Source organism: Homo sapiens, chromosome 8 (genome assembly GCF_000001405.40).
Source record: "Homo sapiens chromosome 8, GRCh38.p14 Primary Assembly".
NCBI lineage: Eukaryota > Metazoa > Chordata > Mammalia > Primates > Hominidae > Homo > Homo sapiens.
This window is the reverse complement of record NC_000008.11, coordinates 98,890,442-98,907,012: the sequence shown is the minus strand read 5'-3', so window position 1 is coordinate 98,907,012 and position 16,571 is coordinate 98,890,442. Positions and strand designations below refer to the sequence as shown.

Sequence of the window (16,571 nt, the reverse complement as noted above, 5' to 3'; positions counted from 1 at the left end):
CTAATTTTTTTTTTTTTTTTTTTATTGGTAGAGATGGGGTTATCCCTATGTTGCTCAGGCTGGTCTCGAACTCCTGGTCTCAACAGATCCTCCCTCCTTAGTCTCCCAAAATGCTGGGATTACAGGCGTGAGCCTCCACACCCAGCCTGTAATAATTTTTTTGTTTTTAAGAAAAAAGTACTATGTGGCAAATAGTTTGGATAGAAGTGAAGATGAGGTGGTCAGGAAAATTGGTAGAGAACATCTCTTTAGAGGTGATGGAAGACACTGACATGAAACATGCCTTTAAAAAGTTTGAATAAAATGTTTTCATGAAATGTGTGAGTGGGAAAAGGCAATTTTTAAAAATAACATTTTTTAATACTTGCAATTTTGTATATGCATTTTAAACTAAATTACCAAGTTAAATATTGTAAGAAGATAGTTAAACATTTCATCTTTGCATCAGTGGCCAAAACGACTTGGCTGTCTGATGAGTGCAGCCCCAGGCTCCAAGTTCCTGACTGCCCTCCTCTGTTGCTGTGGCATTCCTGGAAGGCAGTGGATCTGGAAGCACTGGCGGCCGCGCTGCAGACCATGAGAACTACTACTGAACAAGCGTGTCCTATCTGACCACGGGGCAGGAGCACAACCACGCTGTGGTGCACAGGGCTGAGGCCTTCCATGCCGTGAAGGCAGTCAACACTTCCAAGTTCTGCCCTCATAGATTTGTTGTAGACCAGCTAAACCATCACAATGTCACCAAGAAACGGCCCTAACTCTGAGCCATAACTCTAGATTTTATAGATCATGGTGCTGCCCTGTTTTTACCTATCCTTGGAATTGAAAAACTGTAGCTTCTATAGAAATGTGAGCCTTTGGACAGGGATCTTATTAAGATTGTTAAATCAAGTTTAGCCTAAAGCTGCCTCCTTACATATTTTAATTTTGGCCTAGGTTTCTCCGTGCATAATGAACTATAACAAGTGGAGGTGTAAACAGACCGTAGCCCACACGTGTGCCAATCTCTGAGTTTTGACCAATCACATGTAGCCAACTCTTTGAACTGTGTTCAAATAAGGCAAAAGCTGAGCTGTAACCAATCTGGCTGTTTCTGTACCTCACTTCCGTTTTCTGCACATCACTTTCCTTTTTCTGTCCATAAATCTCCTTCTACCATGTGGCTGCGCTGGATTCTCTGATCCTACTCTGGCTCCGAATTTGTGAATCGTTCGTTGCTCAATTAAACTCTTTTAAATTTAATTCGGCTGAAGTTTTTCTTTTATCAAGACAAACGATTTTGTAGGGTTCTCTCTGACGCAGGAGCTACCTCCGCCGCTGCCACCCAGAGGTGCTTGTCCGGATGATGAAGCTGTTCATCAGAAACCTGCCCCAGGAGGCCACAGAGCAGGAGATCCGCTCTCTTTTCAAGCAGTAGGGAAGGTGCTGGAATGTGACATCATTAAGAACTACGGCTTTGTACACATAGAAGACAAGACGGCGGCTGAGGATACCATACACAACTTGCATCATTACAAGCTTCATGGGGTGAACATCAACGTGGAAGCCAGCAAGAATAAGAGCAAAGCGTCAACCAAGTTACACGTGGGTAACATCAGTCCCACTTGTACCAACCAAGAGCTTCAAGCCAAGTTTGAGAAGTATGGTCCAGTCATTGAATGTGACATCGTGAAAGATTATGTCCTCATACACTTCATACACATGGAGTGGTCAGAGGACGCAGTGAGACCGTCAGGGGCCTTGACAACACAGAGTTTCAAGGCAAGATAATGCATGTGTAGTTGTCCACAAGCCCGACTTCGGACTGCCCCTGGAATGGGAGACCAGTGTGGCTGCTATCAGTGTAAGAAAGAAGGTCACTGGTCCAAAGAGTGCCCAGTAGATCGTACGGGTCGTGTGGCAGACTTTACTGAGCAGTGTAATGAACAATATGCAGCAGTTCACACGCCTTACACCATGGGCTATGGGGAATCCAGGTATTACAACGATGCATATGCAGCACTCCACTACTATAAGCGATACTGGGTCTGCTCTTACGAGGCAGTAGCAGCAGCGGCAGCAGCTTCTGCATGTAACTAGGCAGAGCAGACCATGTCCCATCTGCCTCAAGTCCAAAGTACAACTGTGACCAGCCACCTCAACTCTACTTCTGCTAATCCCTAAGACAGATACCTATTGCCAAGTTCTTGTGCTGCTGCCACTTCAGCTACTATGGCTGCCGCTCCGGCCACCACTTCCTCCTATTGTGGAACCGCGTCATGCTGCAGCCATGCTCCCCACAGTTGGAGAGGGCTACGGTTATGGGCCAGAGAGTGAGTTATTTCAGGCTTCAGCAGCTACACGGAATTCTCTACACGACATGGCCCGGTATGAACGGGAGCACTATATGGACCGAGCCTGGTACTCAGCCTTTTAAAAACTGGAGGTAGAATAATTGCTGACTGAACCCTCGGGCTGCGGGCATATATGAGAACTTGCTCCGTGCGGTCCCCTTTGCCAGGATGTTTCCATTGCTTCACGTTTCAGTAAACAAAAGGAGTTTGTGACCAACTATGTTTTCTTTCTTAATTTAATTCTTCTAAGTTGACTTTTCTTTCCTCCTGATACTAGTCTCTGTAGCCTTTTTTACTCTGTTCCTTATATTCTCAGCCTCTGAACAGCCCTAGGTAAGGATTATGCTGGCATCCCCTTTTTCCTGTGCAGTGGAACCCCTCTTATCTTGCTTTCCCTAGGAGTTGAATACTTCTCCCTGCCTACCTGCAGCATCTCCTTTCTCTTTCAAATGACCATGTAGTGGCAAGCAGCCTTTTACTCTTCTCTGTTAGTTCTGGACTCTAACATTGAAGTTAATCTTCTGAAATTGCTAGGACCATTGGGGGTTGTGTTGTTTGTTTTTTTATATCTGACCTGTGATCGTGGTACAGCATTAGCTGAAATTTAGCCTTGTTTTACTCCACTCCTCCCATTTTTAAATAATTTTTTGACAAATAAACATTTCTAACACTTAAGAAAAAAAAGACATAAACATGAGCATAGTGGTCTGCATATAGAATATCTGGGGCTCTAAACTCCCTAATATTTAAAAGTATAATCACTGTCCTATTGTGTTTCTTATTTCTTTAGGCTGATAGGAAGATATCAGGTATCAGGGTTTTCCTGTGTGACAGATGATAAAAAACGTATTTTGAATGAAAGCTGCAGTAAATCTACAAACTATGATTTGGGGTCTTTGCTTAAGTATGAGATATTTGATGAGGACTTTATAATGCAACATTAGTTTCCATACCTTCTGTCAAAAATAATTGCCTAAGGCCAGGCACAGTGGTTCACATCTGTAATGCAGTGTTTGGAAGGCTGAGGCTAGAGGATCACTTGAACCCAGCAGTTGGGCTGCTATTGTGTCACTGCACTCCAGCCTGAGTGACAGAGCAAGGCCCCACTTAAAAAAAAAAAAAGGAAGAAGAAGAAGAAGAAGAAGAAGAAGAAGAAGAAGAAGAAGAAGAAGAAGAAGAAGAAGAAGAAGAACTTCCTAAATTGAAGTGGAAATATAAGCTTTTTCAGTTAAACATACTAAAAAATAGCATTTTCTTCTGGGATTTGACTACTAAAAAGAGCATTCTCTTCTGGGATTCATTAGAAAAAAAAATCATCCCCATTGCTAAAAGTTTATTCAAGTTTTCTATCACCTGCCCATAAAAACTCAATTGTTTTAATATTTTCATCAGGATAACTTGGGACTGTATAATAGTCAAAGTTGCTCATATTCAGGCATATATGATATAAGCAATTATGTGTTTTCATTTAGTGCATTCAATGTCATATCCTAGCCATTTCCCTGTGCTATAATGAAATTGTAGTAAACATAATTTTCATGGCCCCTTAGGGTATTAGAGTCACTGAAAGGAGACCCGCATGGCTAGAACACACTGAAAGATGGAGATGCAGAAGGAGATGGTGCTAAAGAGGCGGTAGAAGCCAGAGTCTTTTAGGTTATGTTAGGGAATTTGGGTTTTGTCTTAAGTGAAAGGCAGGACAGTGGTGATTGAGAGGCTTGGGTTTTGGAGTCAGACTGACTGAGTTCAAATCTTAACTCTACACTGTTCTAGTTGTCAATTTGGGCAAATTAATTTCTCCAGTCCTCAGTTTCCTTATCTGTAAAATAGGATGGTAATCACAGGGTTGTGAAGACTAAGATAATGCACCTGTGTAATGCATGATAATCTCTGCAAAGTGCCTGACACATTGGCTATTATTAAGTGCAATGGGAAGCCATTGAAGTATTTTTGTGTAGGATAGTGACATGACCCCATTTACTATGTTTTTAAATGATCCCTGGTTTCCATATGGAGGGCTCAGGGTGATTAGCTAGCTAGCTATCAGAAGAGAAGGCTTGGGCCAGGACGGTGACAGTGGGAAGACACAAGAAATATTGTAGAGGAGGAATTGAGAGAGATTTGTGATCAACTGGATGGGCGTGGTGAGGGAAGAGGATGAATCAAAGATGACTTCTAGGTCTCAGGTATGCTTGAACTACTGAGCAGATAGGAATCGCTGAGATTTACTAGGAGAGTAGCACTGAATGAAGGGACACTTTGGGGGAATGTGTATTGGGGTGTTAAGATCAAGAGTTTCAGAAATGTTAAGTTACAAAAGATCTTAGAGACATTTAAGTGGAGATGTGTGTATCCATGGTATTGGACAAATAGGTCTAGAGCTCAGAAAAGTCTGAGCTGGAGATAAAAATTTAGAATTAGATATTTCAAATCATGGAAATGGATGAGGTCATCTAGGGAGATGGAAAGTTCATAAAGAGGACAGAACTTAAAGCCATCCCGTAAGGAGCTCTGACATTTAGAGGTCAAGTAGAGGAGAAATGGCAGACGAAGGAGGGAGAGATGGAACATCCAGAAAAGCAGAAGAAAGCGCGGGAGAGGATGACATCATGGCAGCCAAGAGAATAGAGTGTTTCCAGAACCAGGGAGTGCTCAATTGTGTGGAATGTTTCTGGAGACTTCCTGGGCAGCAAAAAGCATCTTGTGTGTTGCAGGCAATGGAGTAAGGAAGTAGAGGGCACATGTGAAGTCCGTCCTTCTGAGGAGGGTTAGGATTGACCCTTTGTCTTCTTTACTGCCCATTCTTTCCCAGCTTGCCTATTAATGATTTATTTGACTCACAGCAGTTTCACATTTCTGGGTAGGGATCAGCTCTACTTTGAAGGCTGAGGATTTCAGACAACTGAGAAGCTCTCACGGAACACAGAAAGCTGCCCTGACCTCCCCAGCTGCCTCTATCCCAGGCCACAGAGGCTTCGGTCATCCCAAGGGAGCCAGTGTGGAATGAGGCTGCCTGAGGGAGCAGGTGGGCACAGCCCACACATCCCAGCAGTGACCAGATCTGCCCTGTGAGCTACCTGAGAATGGAATTTCAGCCTGGGAACCCCTGCTGCTCCTGCAGTTGCAAGAGTTGCAAGAAAAGGTCTAAGGCAGGTGTGGTGTGCAGTCAGAGAGCCTAGCAGAGCCTTCCCGCTCCCAGGCTTTCTTTTTCTCTCCCCTTTCACCTCTCCCTCTCTTAAACCAATGTAATCTCTAAGCATATTTCTCTAAAGCCATTGATTAACAGAAAATGTGAAGTAATGCTGTTTGGATGGGGGAAGGAGAAGCCTCTAGTTAAGAATAGCTAGAGTTAATAAAAGCTTATTGTGAATAGTAAAAGCATAGGGGCTTTACAAGTGTTACCTCACTTAATCTTCACAATAATCCTCTGATGTAGGAATCATTATCCCTATTTTACAAGTAAGTAAACAGAGGCTTAGAGAGTTAAGAACTTTCCTAAAGTCATGTGGTGATAAGTGGTGGAGCTGAGGATTCTATTCTAGATTTCTCTCACACAGGGCCCAAACTCATCCAAAGGAGAAAAAAATATTCCAGAATGGTTCACTGATTTTGTGATTAAAGATGCTAAGCATAAATAGGATGTAGCATAGTATTCATATTATTTATGATATTCATATTTATGATAATGCTAAGTGAAAAAATATAATATAAAACTATAGGCCGGGTGCAGTGGCTCATGCCTGTTATCCCAGCACTTTAGGAAGCCGAGGCAGGCGGATCACTTGAGGCCAGGAGTTCGAGACTAGCTTGGCCAACATGCTGAAATCCTGTCTCTACTAAAAATACAAAAATTAGCTTGGTGTCATGGCGTGCACCTGTAATCCCAGCTACTTGGGAGGCTGAGGCAGGAGAATCACTTGAACCCAGTGGGGGGAGGTTGCAGTGAGCTAAGATTGCACCACTGCACTCCAGCCTGGGTGACAGAGCAAGACCCTGTCTCAGAAAAAAAAAAAAGAAAAAAAGAATATAAAACTATAACAATCTTTAAAAAAAGACACGTGGGAAAACAGCAGAAGAAAATATACAAAAAACTATGTGTAATGTATACATATATCAAAATATCAAGTTGTATACTGTAAATATATACAATTTTTGTCACTTATACCTCACTAAAGCTGGGGAGGGGAAACTATATATGTGTGATTGGATGTGGGGCGATTTCATATAATTCTACATTTTGTGCTTGTGGTAATGTTCAATTAGACTTCTTAAAAAAATGTTTTTAAAAAGCAGACTGAAGGCTGGGCATGGTGGCTCACGCCTGTAATCTCAGCACTTTGGGAAGCCGAGGCAGGCAGATCACTTGAGGTCAGGAGTTTGAGACCAGCCTGGCTGGCCAACATGGTGAAACCCTGTCTCTACTAAAAAAACAAAAATTAGCCGGGTGTAGTGGCGGGCGCCTGTAATCTCTGCTACTCGGGAGGCTGAGGCAGGAGAATCACTTGAACTTGGGAGGTGGAGGGTGCAGTGAGCCAAGATCGCACCACTGCACTCCAGCCTGGGCGACAGAGGGAGACCCTGTCTCAAAAATAAATAAATAAATAGCAGACTGGAAATCAAGGAAACCAGTCTGTGGCCAGCAGGCCCTTTTGTGACTTCAGTATTTCATGTATACATTTATATTACTAGCCAACAGTTATTAAGCAATCACTATGTTCCAGGCATGTTTACAATAAAACAAAATGGAAATCTCCCTACAGTTTTCTAAGGGAGGTGTTATTATAGCTATTCTATAAATGAGGAAATGAAGTCTCAGAGAGGATGAATAGGAAAGGCAGTAAGGAGCTTCAGACCTGGCTTTGAATCTTGGCTTCCCTCCTACACGTTAACTGGCTATGGGAAGGTTACTATCTCAGAGACCCAATAATTTTTACCTCCCAGGGTTCTTGTAAAGAGTAAATATCATTATGCATATCATGCCCTTGGCACAGAATAAAGTACAGTTATCCCCCAGCACCCATGGGAAATTGGTCCCAGGACTCCCCATGGATACTAAAATGCAAGGATGCTCAAGTCCCTGATACAAAATGGTGTCATATTTGCATTTAACCTATGCATATCTTCCCATACTTTAAATCATCTCTAGATTACTTGTAATACCCAATACACTATAAATGCTATATAAATCATTGTTATTAATATAATGTATTGTTTAGGAAATCACAACAAGAAAAAAAGTCTGTGCATATTCAGTATAGATACAATTTTTTTCCAGATATTTTTGATCTGAGGTTGGTTGAATCCAGATATGTGGAACCCATGGATAAGGAGGGCCTACTGTGCTTGATGAATGGTAACTACTATTAATATTAAGCACTTTGCAAAAAATTTTGCAAACTGGGGAAGGCAAAATAGGAATTCAATCCTAGGGCTGTATGAAAGCCAAGTCTAGGCTCCTTTCCCCATGAAATGCTGCCTGGGTGATCCTGTGGCATCTTCTGTGCTATCTTCTGGGTGTAACAGTAATGATCCTGACATTCTTAAATCTGCTTTTGAAATGATAGTTGAAAACATAGTGCCATATTTTGTTTCTTTCTATTTATAAAAGTGTATCCATTGCCAAAGGCCTTGGACTCAAGGGTCAGCCCCTGATTTCTCTGCTTAAGTGAGATGTGTGGGCTAGCACACTCCAACCCATTCTGGAAAGCACACTTGTGTCTGGATCCTAGGAGAGGGGACTGGGGATTGGTCCACAGGCTGGAGATTTTGTTACTGGCTGTGGCCGAGCACGTACCAGGCAGGCTGTGTTTGAATTAGCTACATGTCAGAAGGTTATAAAACACTTTTACTCCCTGTGTACTCTTAAAAATATTTCTTTCGTTTTAAATACTGGAGGAACACTACATTATGTTTAAGATCTCTGGATCCCAAAAAGTCTTTTGGGGAGTTGGTTTCCTGCCATTTGTGAGTTAGCCTCTTCTCTAGGTCTTTCTGTATGCGTTTCTACTGTGCAGAAAGATTAAATTACTGCTAAGTGAATAATGTAATCTTTCATTCATGCTGCACATTTCTTAATGCTCTTTATATTGATTGTCAGTATTTGGTTAATTCTCATAAAACATTTTAGAAAGAGAGAGAAAAGAGTTTATGGAGCTGTAGGTTATGCCACACCTACAGCCCCCTTTTCTGAGAATGATGACCCAAATCAGTTATTCCCTACATAAAGTGGCTTGACTATTCCCTGAGTGAAACTGACCCTATTGTTTTGGCCCTAGCTGATTAGACCAGGGTGTCCTAGGCAAAGACAATCATGGGAAGCCAGGTATGCAGGAGGTTAAAAGCCTCAACAGAGTTTGTTGTGAAACTCTACCCGACCGACAGAGTCTGTTTGACAGGAATAAACTGATGATGCTTTCACACAGAGAAGGGTAGTCACACTCCATGGCAGGAAATGTTGTGCCAGTTCTCCATAAGGTCCGGCATCAGGCCATGACTGGGAAGTCCAGGAACTCAGAATACAGCTAGGGACATGGAGGATGAACTCCACTCCCACAGGCAACCTGGTAATCTGAGTGCTTCTTCTCCTAGCAAACCTGAAGAACATCCCTAATATTGACCCTCAGAAATAATATAATCAAGTTCCTTCTTACAGGTGAGGAAAACCGAGGCCCAGAAGATAAAAGGACCACATGACTAGTTAGCAGTGCTCCTGGGGCAGAAGAGCTCTGATTTCTTGATTCCTAAAGTAGTTATTCAAGCTGTAAGGGGCTGTCTCGTGTTTTGATATGGTGTGGTGATCATATCAGTATGCTTTAGAAGACACAAATTAATAGTTGTCAACATTTATTCATTATGTATGTATTTATTTAATACCTGCTAAGAGGCTACAGCTTAGCCAAAAATCCAGGGGAAAGAAGAGAAAATACAGGCCTTAGCCTCCAGTCATTTATAATTGAACTAAGGAATCACACACATCAGACTCTTTTATAATTAAGTGCCAATGTGAATCCATAAAATGATGGAATAAGGGCTGTATTTACTGCAGAGGATAAAAAGACTTTTTTTTTGTTTGTTTGTTTGTTTTTGAGACGGAGTCTTGCTCTGTCACCCAGGATGGAGTCCAGTGGCACGATCTCGGCTCACTGCAAGCTCCGCCTCCCGGGTTCACGCCATTCTCCTGCCTCAGCCTCCCGAGTTCACGCCATTCTCCTGCCTCAGCCTCCGGAGTAGCTGGGACTACAGGCGTCCGCCGTGACCACGCCCGGTTAATTTTTTTTTGTATTTTTAGTAGAGACAGGGTTTCACCGTGTTAACCAGGATGGTCTTGATCTCCTGACCTCGTGATCCGCCCGCCTCCACCTCCCAAAGTGCTAGGATTACAGGCGTGAGCCCCCACGCCCGGCCAAAAAGACATTTCTTTTGCGTGTTAAATAATAGGATTGATAGTGGTTGACTGATGTGATGCATGGAAACAAACTGTGGAGCTACCAAACTCAGAGGAAGTGAGACTGATGGATTGGGATCGATTGGTCATGCCTGCTATGTGGATGCTGGGAGTGTGTGTTCCATGTTGTTTTCAGGTTTCTAGTGGAGGTGTATCTGTTTTGCATAGACACAGACATGGACACACAGCTTTTCTTATTTCTTTCTTTCTCTTTCTCTTTCTTTTCTTTTATTTTTTTATTGTTATTATTTTTTTATTTTTGAGACAGGGTCTCTGTCGCCCATGCTGAAGAGCAGTGACACTATCAGAGGTCACTGCAGCCTCCACCTATTGGGCTCAAGCTATCCTCCCACCTCAGCCTCCCGAGTAGCTAGGATTACAGGCATGAGCGACCACACCCAGCTAATTTTTGTATTTTTTGTAGAGATGGGGTTTCACTATGTTGCCCAGGCTGGTCTCAAACTCCTGACCTCAAGTGATCCACCAGCCTCTGCCTCCCAAAGTGCTGGGATTACAGGCATGAGCCATTGCACCTGGCCCAGACATTTCTGATGCAAGTAATAGCCTAGGCAAAGACTTGAGTGTGTATGTTTGAAGGGTAGTGGGGAGGCTGGACTTGGTCAAATCAAGAATGTGGGCAGATAACAGAGGCAGGTAATAGAATGACAAGTGGAAATTTTTAATTTTACCCTATGACAAGGCTACTGTTTGTGAAACTATGTGAAGTGAAGGCACCAGTTGAACTCTACCACTCCTCAGGAAGTGGGTGTGTTGGGAAGTGAAGTAGGAATGGGGTTGGGGAGGGGATGAGATTCTGGGTGTCCCTCACTTCTACAGCACAGCACTAGTTTGTCTATTTAATACATTGTGACTTTGTATAATAACCTTTTTTGCTTTTGAAGAAACAGTTTTTTGCTTTCATAAAGCAAGCTTGAAAATCACTGCTTTAAGCAATGGAGGGTCTCTGGAGAATTTTCTCTCGTGAATTTGATGCTTTAGGAAGATTAATAGGGTACTAGTTTGTAGATTGGATCTGAGAGGGGTGTTAGGGTACTGTTGCAATTTTCAAGCGTAAGGAGACAAAGCTCTGTTTTAGGATGAAGGCAGTTGTACTAGGGCAGAGATGACTAATAAAGAACTATTTCAGGGGCAGGGCTAGGGAGGGAGAAGTAGTCCCCATCCAAGAATATAAATAATTTAAAATGAAATCGTGCTCATCTCAGAAATTTGAACTCTATCAAATTAATTTATCATCTAGGCTATAAATTTTACGAGGGTAGAGAATTATGCCTGTCTTATTTTTCTGGTGCCTGGGACATAGTAGTATTCAATAAATATTTGTTCCCTAAACAAATAAACAAAAATCAGATGTAACCATTAGGATAATTTCTGCTGCAAGTAGAAGCCTTGACCTCAAATTGGCTTGAACAATAAGGATATTTATCATTTCACATACCTGAAAGATCAGAGGTAGAGTAGATTCCAGGATCAACACAATCAGCAGCTAAGTGATCATCAAGGACCCAGGTTCTCTCCCCCTCTCCACTCAGCACCCTTGGCATTCGGTTCATCTTGAGGCTCATGCTTCTCATGTTGGAGGATGGCTGCCTGTAGCCATCAAGCCATACGCTTCTTTGTTTAAGGACAGCAGCATAGAAAGGAAAACCTTTCCCCTAAACAGATCATGCATCCTTACTTCCCATTCCCATTCTCACCCAGTAATCAGTCAAAAGAATGCCTTGTCCTGATTGGCCAAGCTCAAATCCAGTCTAACCCTGGAGCTGGGACTAGAACCACTTCCTCTCCATACTGGAGGAGGGAGTGTTAGATACATAGACAAAATTTTAGTCTAGTAAAAAGAAATAAGGGGGATGGGTGCCGAGTTGTGTACATTTGTCAGTCAGTGTGTGGTTTGAGGACCAGCAGCCTCAACAACACCTTGTTAGAGATGTGAAATCTTAGGGCTTACCTCAGGCCCATCAAACCAGAGTCTGTTTTAACAAGAGTCCCCAGGTAACTCATATGGAAATAACAGTTGAGAAACATTGCGCCATACCATACACTTTAATCCCTTTGTGGCCCTTTACCTGGCACAGGGAGCAGATAAACATCTGTGTCTTCTTTCAGACTCAGGCGTGAAGAATGATCTTCAGTGCCATTGCTCCTGAGTTCCCATGCCATTTTGTTCCTACTTCTATTATTTATATTTATCCCATTGCATCATAGTTAGTTATTTAAAATATCTAGAATCCCCAAGCACCTCACTTAGTACTTGGTACTAAAAGGTACTCAATGAGTTCCTATCCATTCGTTCATTTATTCAACAGATTTTTATTGAACACCTTTGCTACCTGGTGCCATTCTAGATTCTGGGGACACAGCAGTGAACAAAGAAGTCAAAGACCTCTACTTCACAGAGTGTAAATTCCAATTAGAGGAGTAAGGTATTTTAAGTTACATTATTTGTTATATTAAGTATATACTTGTAGAGTGAATGAATTAATTGAACAAATATTTATTGAGCACTTACTGTATGTCGGGCACTGTTATAAGCACAGGGATGATATCTGTGAACAGAAGTCTCTGTCTTCAGTGGTGCTTACATTCTAGTAAGATTTGGGGACAGAATGAGAAATAATAAGTAGATAGGTAAATTATGTAGCATACTAGAAAACAATAAATGCTGGGAACAAACAGAGCACTTTAAGGGGGAATCAAGAATGCTGGGGCCATAGAGATGAAATTTTAAATGGAGTAGTCAAGGTGGCCCTCATTGATGAGGTGACAGTTTATGTTCTAGTGGAAGGAGTGAGTTTTCTGACATGTGACTAGGAGATTAATGATGTACTGGAAAAAGTTAGGATGTTGCAGCTGTGGCTCAGATATTTTTTTGGAGGAAGGTAAGATAACAAGGTAGTTTGGGCTTGTTGAATTGATTGATGAGCTGTCCAAAGGAAAATGTCCTACAGACAATGAAATATGTGGGGGTGGATTCTGTTTATGAGGTCAAGGTGGATGTATTAGATTTAGGCATCATCAGTATGTAGAATTGGTTCACCAAGGAAAGAAGAGAGAGGAAAAAAAGTGGGGGCTCATGTCTGAGGCTTAGAAAATACCCCCTATCACGGGATAGAAGGAAGAAGATATTTTTGTATTGCCCAGAAACATCACCGGGTGATTGACTGAGGTCAGTAGTATAACAAACTAATAAACCAGTGAACACATTTTACATCTTATCCTTCCGCTATACTGATTATAGGTAAAAGGGTATACTTGGGGAGGAAAATACATGAAGCATGGGCTGCTGAAACTTTAATACTTTTCCGAAAGGCTGTGATAAGCAAAAAATTATTCATAACCATCTGTGACTAGATAAGTTTGGTCAAATTGGCCAGGGTGACACAGACTGTCCAGTCCACTCTGCCTTGTTCTTGCAGCTTCTCCATGGCACAGGCCACAGTCATTGAGCCAGCTGTGGGTGGAGCCACAGGCCAAGTGCGGGTACTTCACTGTACAACCCATGCAGAGGAAAACCACCTTTCTTGGTGGTAACCTTGGGGATGAAATCAGGAACAGAACTCAAGCTTTGGTTGCTTTTTTTTTTAAGTTCTTTTTCCTTCCTCTTTCCTTTCCTTTCCTTTCCTTCTTTCTTTCCTTTCTTTCCTCCCTCCCTCTCTCTTTCTCTTTCTCTTTCTTTTTCTTTCTTTCTTTCTTTCTTTCTTTCTTTCTTTCTTTCTTTCTTTCTTTCTCTTTCTTTCTTTCTTTCTTTCTTTCTTTCTTTCTTTCTTTCTTTCTTTCTTTCTTTCTTTCTTTCCTTCCTTCCTTCCTTCTTTCTTTCTTTCTCTTTCTTCGCAAGTCTTGCTCTGTCACCCAGGCTGAAGTGCAGTGGTGCAATCTTGCCTCACTGCAACCTCCACCTCCTCGGTTCAGGCACTTCTTCTGCCTCAGCCTCCTGAGTAGCTGGGACTACAGGCATGCACCACCATGCCTGGTTAATTTTTGTATTTTTAGTAGGGATAGGGTTTCATCATTTTGGCCAGGCTGGTCTCGAACTCCTGACCTCAAGTGATCCACCCAACCTTGGCCTCCCAAAGAGCTGAGATTACAGGCATGAGCCACCGTGCCCAGCCGCTATTTTCTTTTTATCTAGAAAGGACCCCTATCTAAGCAATCCCAATAGAACCTGTTCTTACCTTCCTTCTCAGTGCCTTTCTTTCTTGGCTAACCATTGCCTTTATACTGTCCCCTGGTTTTCCAGAGCCAATTCTGCCTTTATTTCATTAACCGTCTCAAATATATTCTTAGAGAGCTGTAGTAAGAAAAATCACACTGAAGTGTGAATTGCTAACGTTGTTAATAAAAGATAAGACATTTACTGATTCACTTGTTCATTTAGTCAACAAATATTTATTGAGTGACTGCTATGAGACAAGTATTTGCTAGGTCCTGGAAATAAAGTAGTGAATAAGTAAGAGTTCTGGCATTTGTGAAATACATAGTCCTAATTCAGAAAGAATTAGAGTCAGATGGATAAAGCTTACATAGTAAGAAAGTGCTAAAGTAGGGATAAATTTAGGGTCATGCAGTCTTTGGGAACAAAGGTAGGAAACGGGGAGAGTGTACCAAGCAAAGGGGACAATGTGTACAAAGGCCTGGAAGCAAAAGTAAGGGACTAAGGAAAGGTGAGTGCACTGACGGGGAGGCAGTGGCATAGGAGAGCCCACAGTGGTCAGCCATGGCCAGAGCATAAGGGCTTGTAAACCCCATTAACGAATCTGGACTTCATTCTGAGGGCCTTGAGGACCCAGCTAATGGTTTTAATCTGGGGACTGTCATAATCAGATCTGCATCTTAGAAAGATCACATTTGTTGCAGTTGCAGTGTGGAGAACAAATTGGAGGCACACAGACAGGTCAGGAGGTAACCACAGTCATCCTGGCAGGAGTCGATGGTGACCTGAACTATGTACTGTCAGAGGGAATGAAGATAAAGGGACAGAGTCAAGCTAGGAAGGAGGAATTCATGATTGATTGAATGGGGTCAGAGAAGGAGAGAGAGGAGTCAAGGATGATTCCTAAGTCTCTGACTGGGATGGAAATACTCCCTAATGGTAGAATTGCAGGCATCCGTGACCTGGGTCTATAGCATAGATTTTTTTTTGGGTGGAGTACGTGCTTGTCACACTTAAAATCACATTATGCAAACAGCTGCCTACCCCAGATATTTACCTTTGAGGATGGCTCTGGCACTCATTTTTACTTATTGGCATAGGGAGGTCTTTTGTCATGCTAGGACTGGGAGAGTTTGTGGCCTGAGTACTTTCAGAGTCTAGTGAAGGACCAGAGTATTTCCTAGAATTATTCAGGGTATTGGCAGTTTTCACCTAAATAGATGATGACTTGAGTCCAACCCCCGGCCCTCACATCATGAAGTTTCACTTTTATGCAATCTCTATTCCCTCTAGATCCCATTCTTCCCGCCTCCTGTTTATAGTGGAAGCACTTGACAGCTGGAAGTCTTAACAGTGTAACATACTGAATTGAATCAGCTTTCTTTTACTACTGTTTATATCTAAGCACTGTGTATCTCTCTCTCTCTCTCTCTCTCTCACACACACACACACACACAGTTTTATTTAAAGATAAAGTCTGCACAACTTACAAAACTTTTAACAAAACCCCAGGCAACCTAAATTGCAATCCCTGCTATGTACATATCAAGAGTGCTATACCATGGATATTTAAATGTTATACATCTAAAGGAATCTACCTAGAAATCATGAATTATCATTAAATATGTTTTATAAAAGTTCTCGTTATAATTTATAATGTAACAAAGGATGGTTAATGTTGCACATAAAGAGTGTTGGAGCCATAAACGAGAATACTTGACAAAGCAATGAGATTTAAAAAGAAAATAAGTGCACCTGGTCTGCCTTAAATGCTTTTTAAAAGACTCTTTCAGGAAAGTTCCTGCAAGTGAATTAAGTCTCTGTTTCTCCCGGGGCTGCCAGCACTTTCTTTGGCCAATACAACAGCTGCACCATGCGGTGCTGAGCTGCAAAAGGCGCAGCACGTGGCTGTGGTCACTGCCCCAGCCCTGGTAGACTGACCTTCAGAGGCTCTTAGCTGGCACATTTAACAACTGTTAGGAGGCCAGATTTTCCACTTGTGCAACAATGTATAAGCCATTTGCTTTCAGCAGTCCCTGTTAACTGAGTAGAAGGCATTTGTAAGTCGGACATCATGACCATCTTTCAAATTAGGCCTCTTAGTTACTGGCATTGATAACCATGCTCAAGGCTAGGACGATAAAATGATATCGTTCTTCAATTCAAGGACAAACACAATGCCAAGCTGACTGGTGTTTTAGAAGATGTATCTTTACAAAAATAATGGTTTATCTGTACATCTGTGCTTTCAGATAATGGATTGTCATGAACCCTGGCCTAAACTCCTAAAGGGTTTCATGTCTCTGGAATTAGAAAAAAATATAGTTTTATAGGTGTTTTCTTTTCTTCTTCAAGGGATTCTTGCTGCTGAATTATGTGTTCTACCAAGGCCTGTGGTGGAAGAGGGTAGGTTTGTGAATTAGAAAGGTCCAGTGAAAACTTCTATTTATGTGACCCCTGGTGGCTGGTGGGAGTGATTGGTAAGCCTAGACAATTTTTCTTAAAGGCTAATTTCCTTCTAATAACAGAGTAGCAGATTGATGCCTGGGTCTGGTTGGTGTTTCCTGAGATTCTAGTTGCTTGCTGTCGCACAGACAAGGTACATAAAAAAGTAAATAAATGG

At 42.1% G+C, this 16,571-nt stretch overlaps 1 protein-coding gene and 2 pseudogenes across 8 annotated transcripts in view, besides 1 other annotated feature; all 3 read left to right on the top strand.

The window, feature by feature from the left end:
* STK3 (serine/threonine kinase 3) overlaps nt 1-16,571 on the top strand; it is a 598,636-nt gene that overhangs the window by 35,598 nt on the left and 546,467 nt on the right. The window lies entirely within an intron of this gene.
* On the top strand, nt 486-758 carry MRPL57P7 (mitochondrial ribosomal protein L57 pseudogene 7; annotated as a pseudogene).
* On the top strand, nt 1,277-2,813 carry LOC643494 (RNA binding motif protein 4B pseudogene; annotated as a pseudogene).
* Nucleotides 15,819-16,319: an enhancer, noted in NCBI's record as "H3K4me1 hESC enhancer chr8:99902922-99903422 (GRCh37/hg19 assembly coordinates)". NCBI's record gives its function as "activates a minimal SCP1, AML or CMV promoter by ChIP-STARR-seq in naive H9 embryonic stem cells {active_cell/tissue: H9 hESC(naive)}" and the evidence as "EXISTENCE:reporter gene assay evidence [ECO:0000049][PMID:30033119]".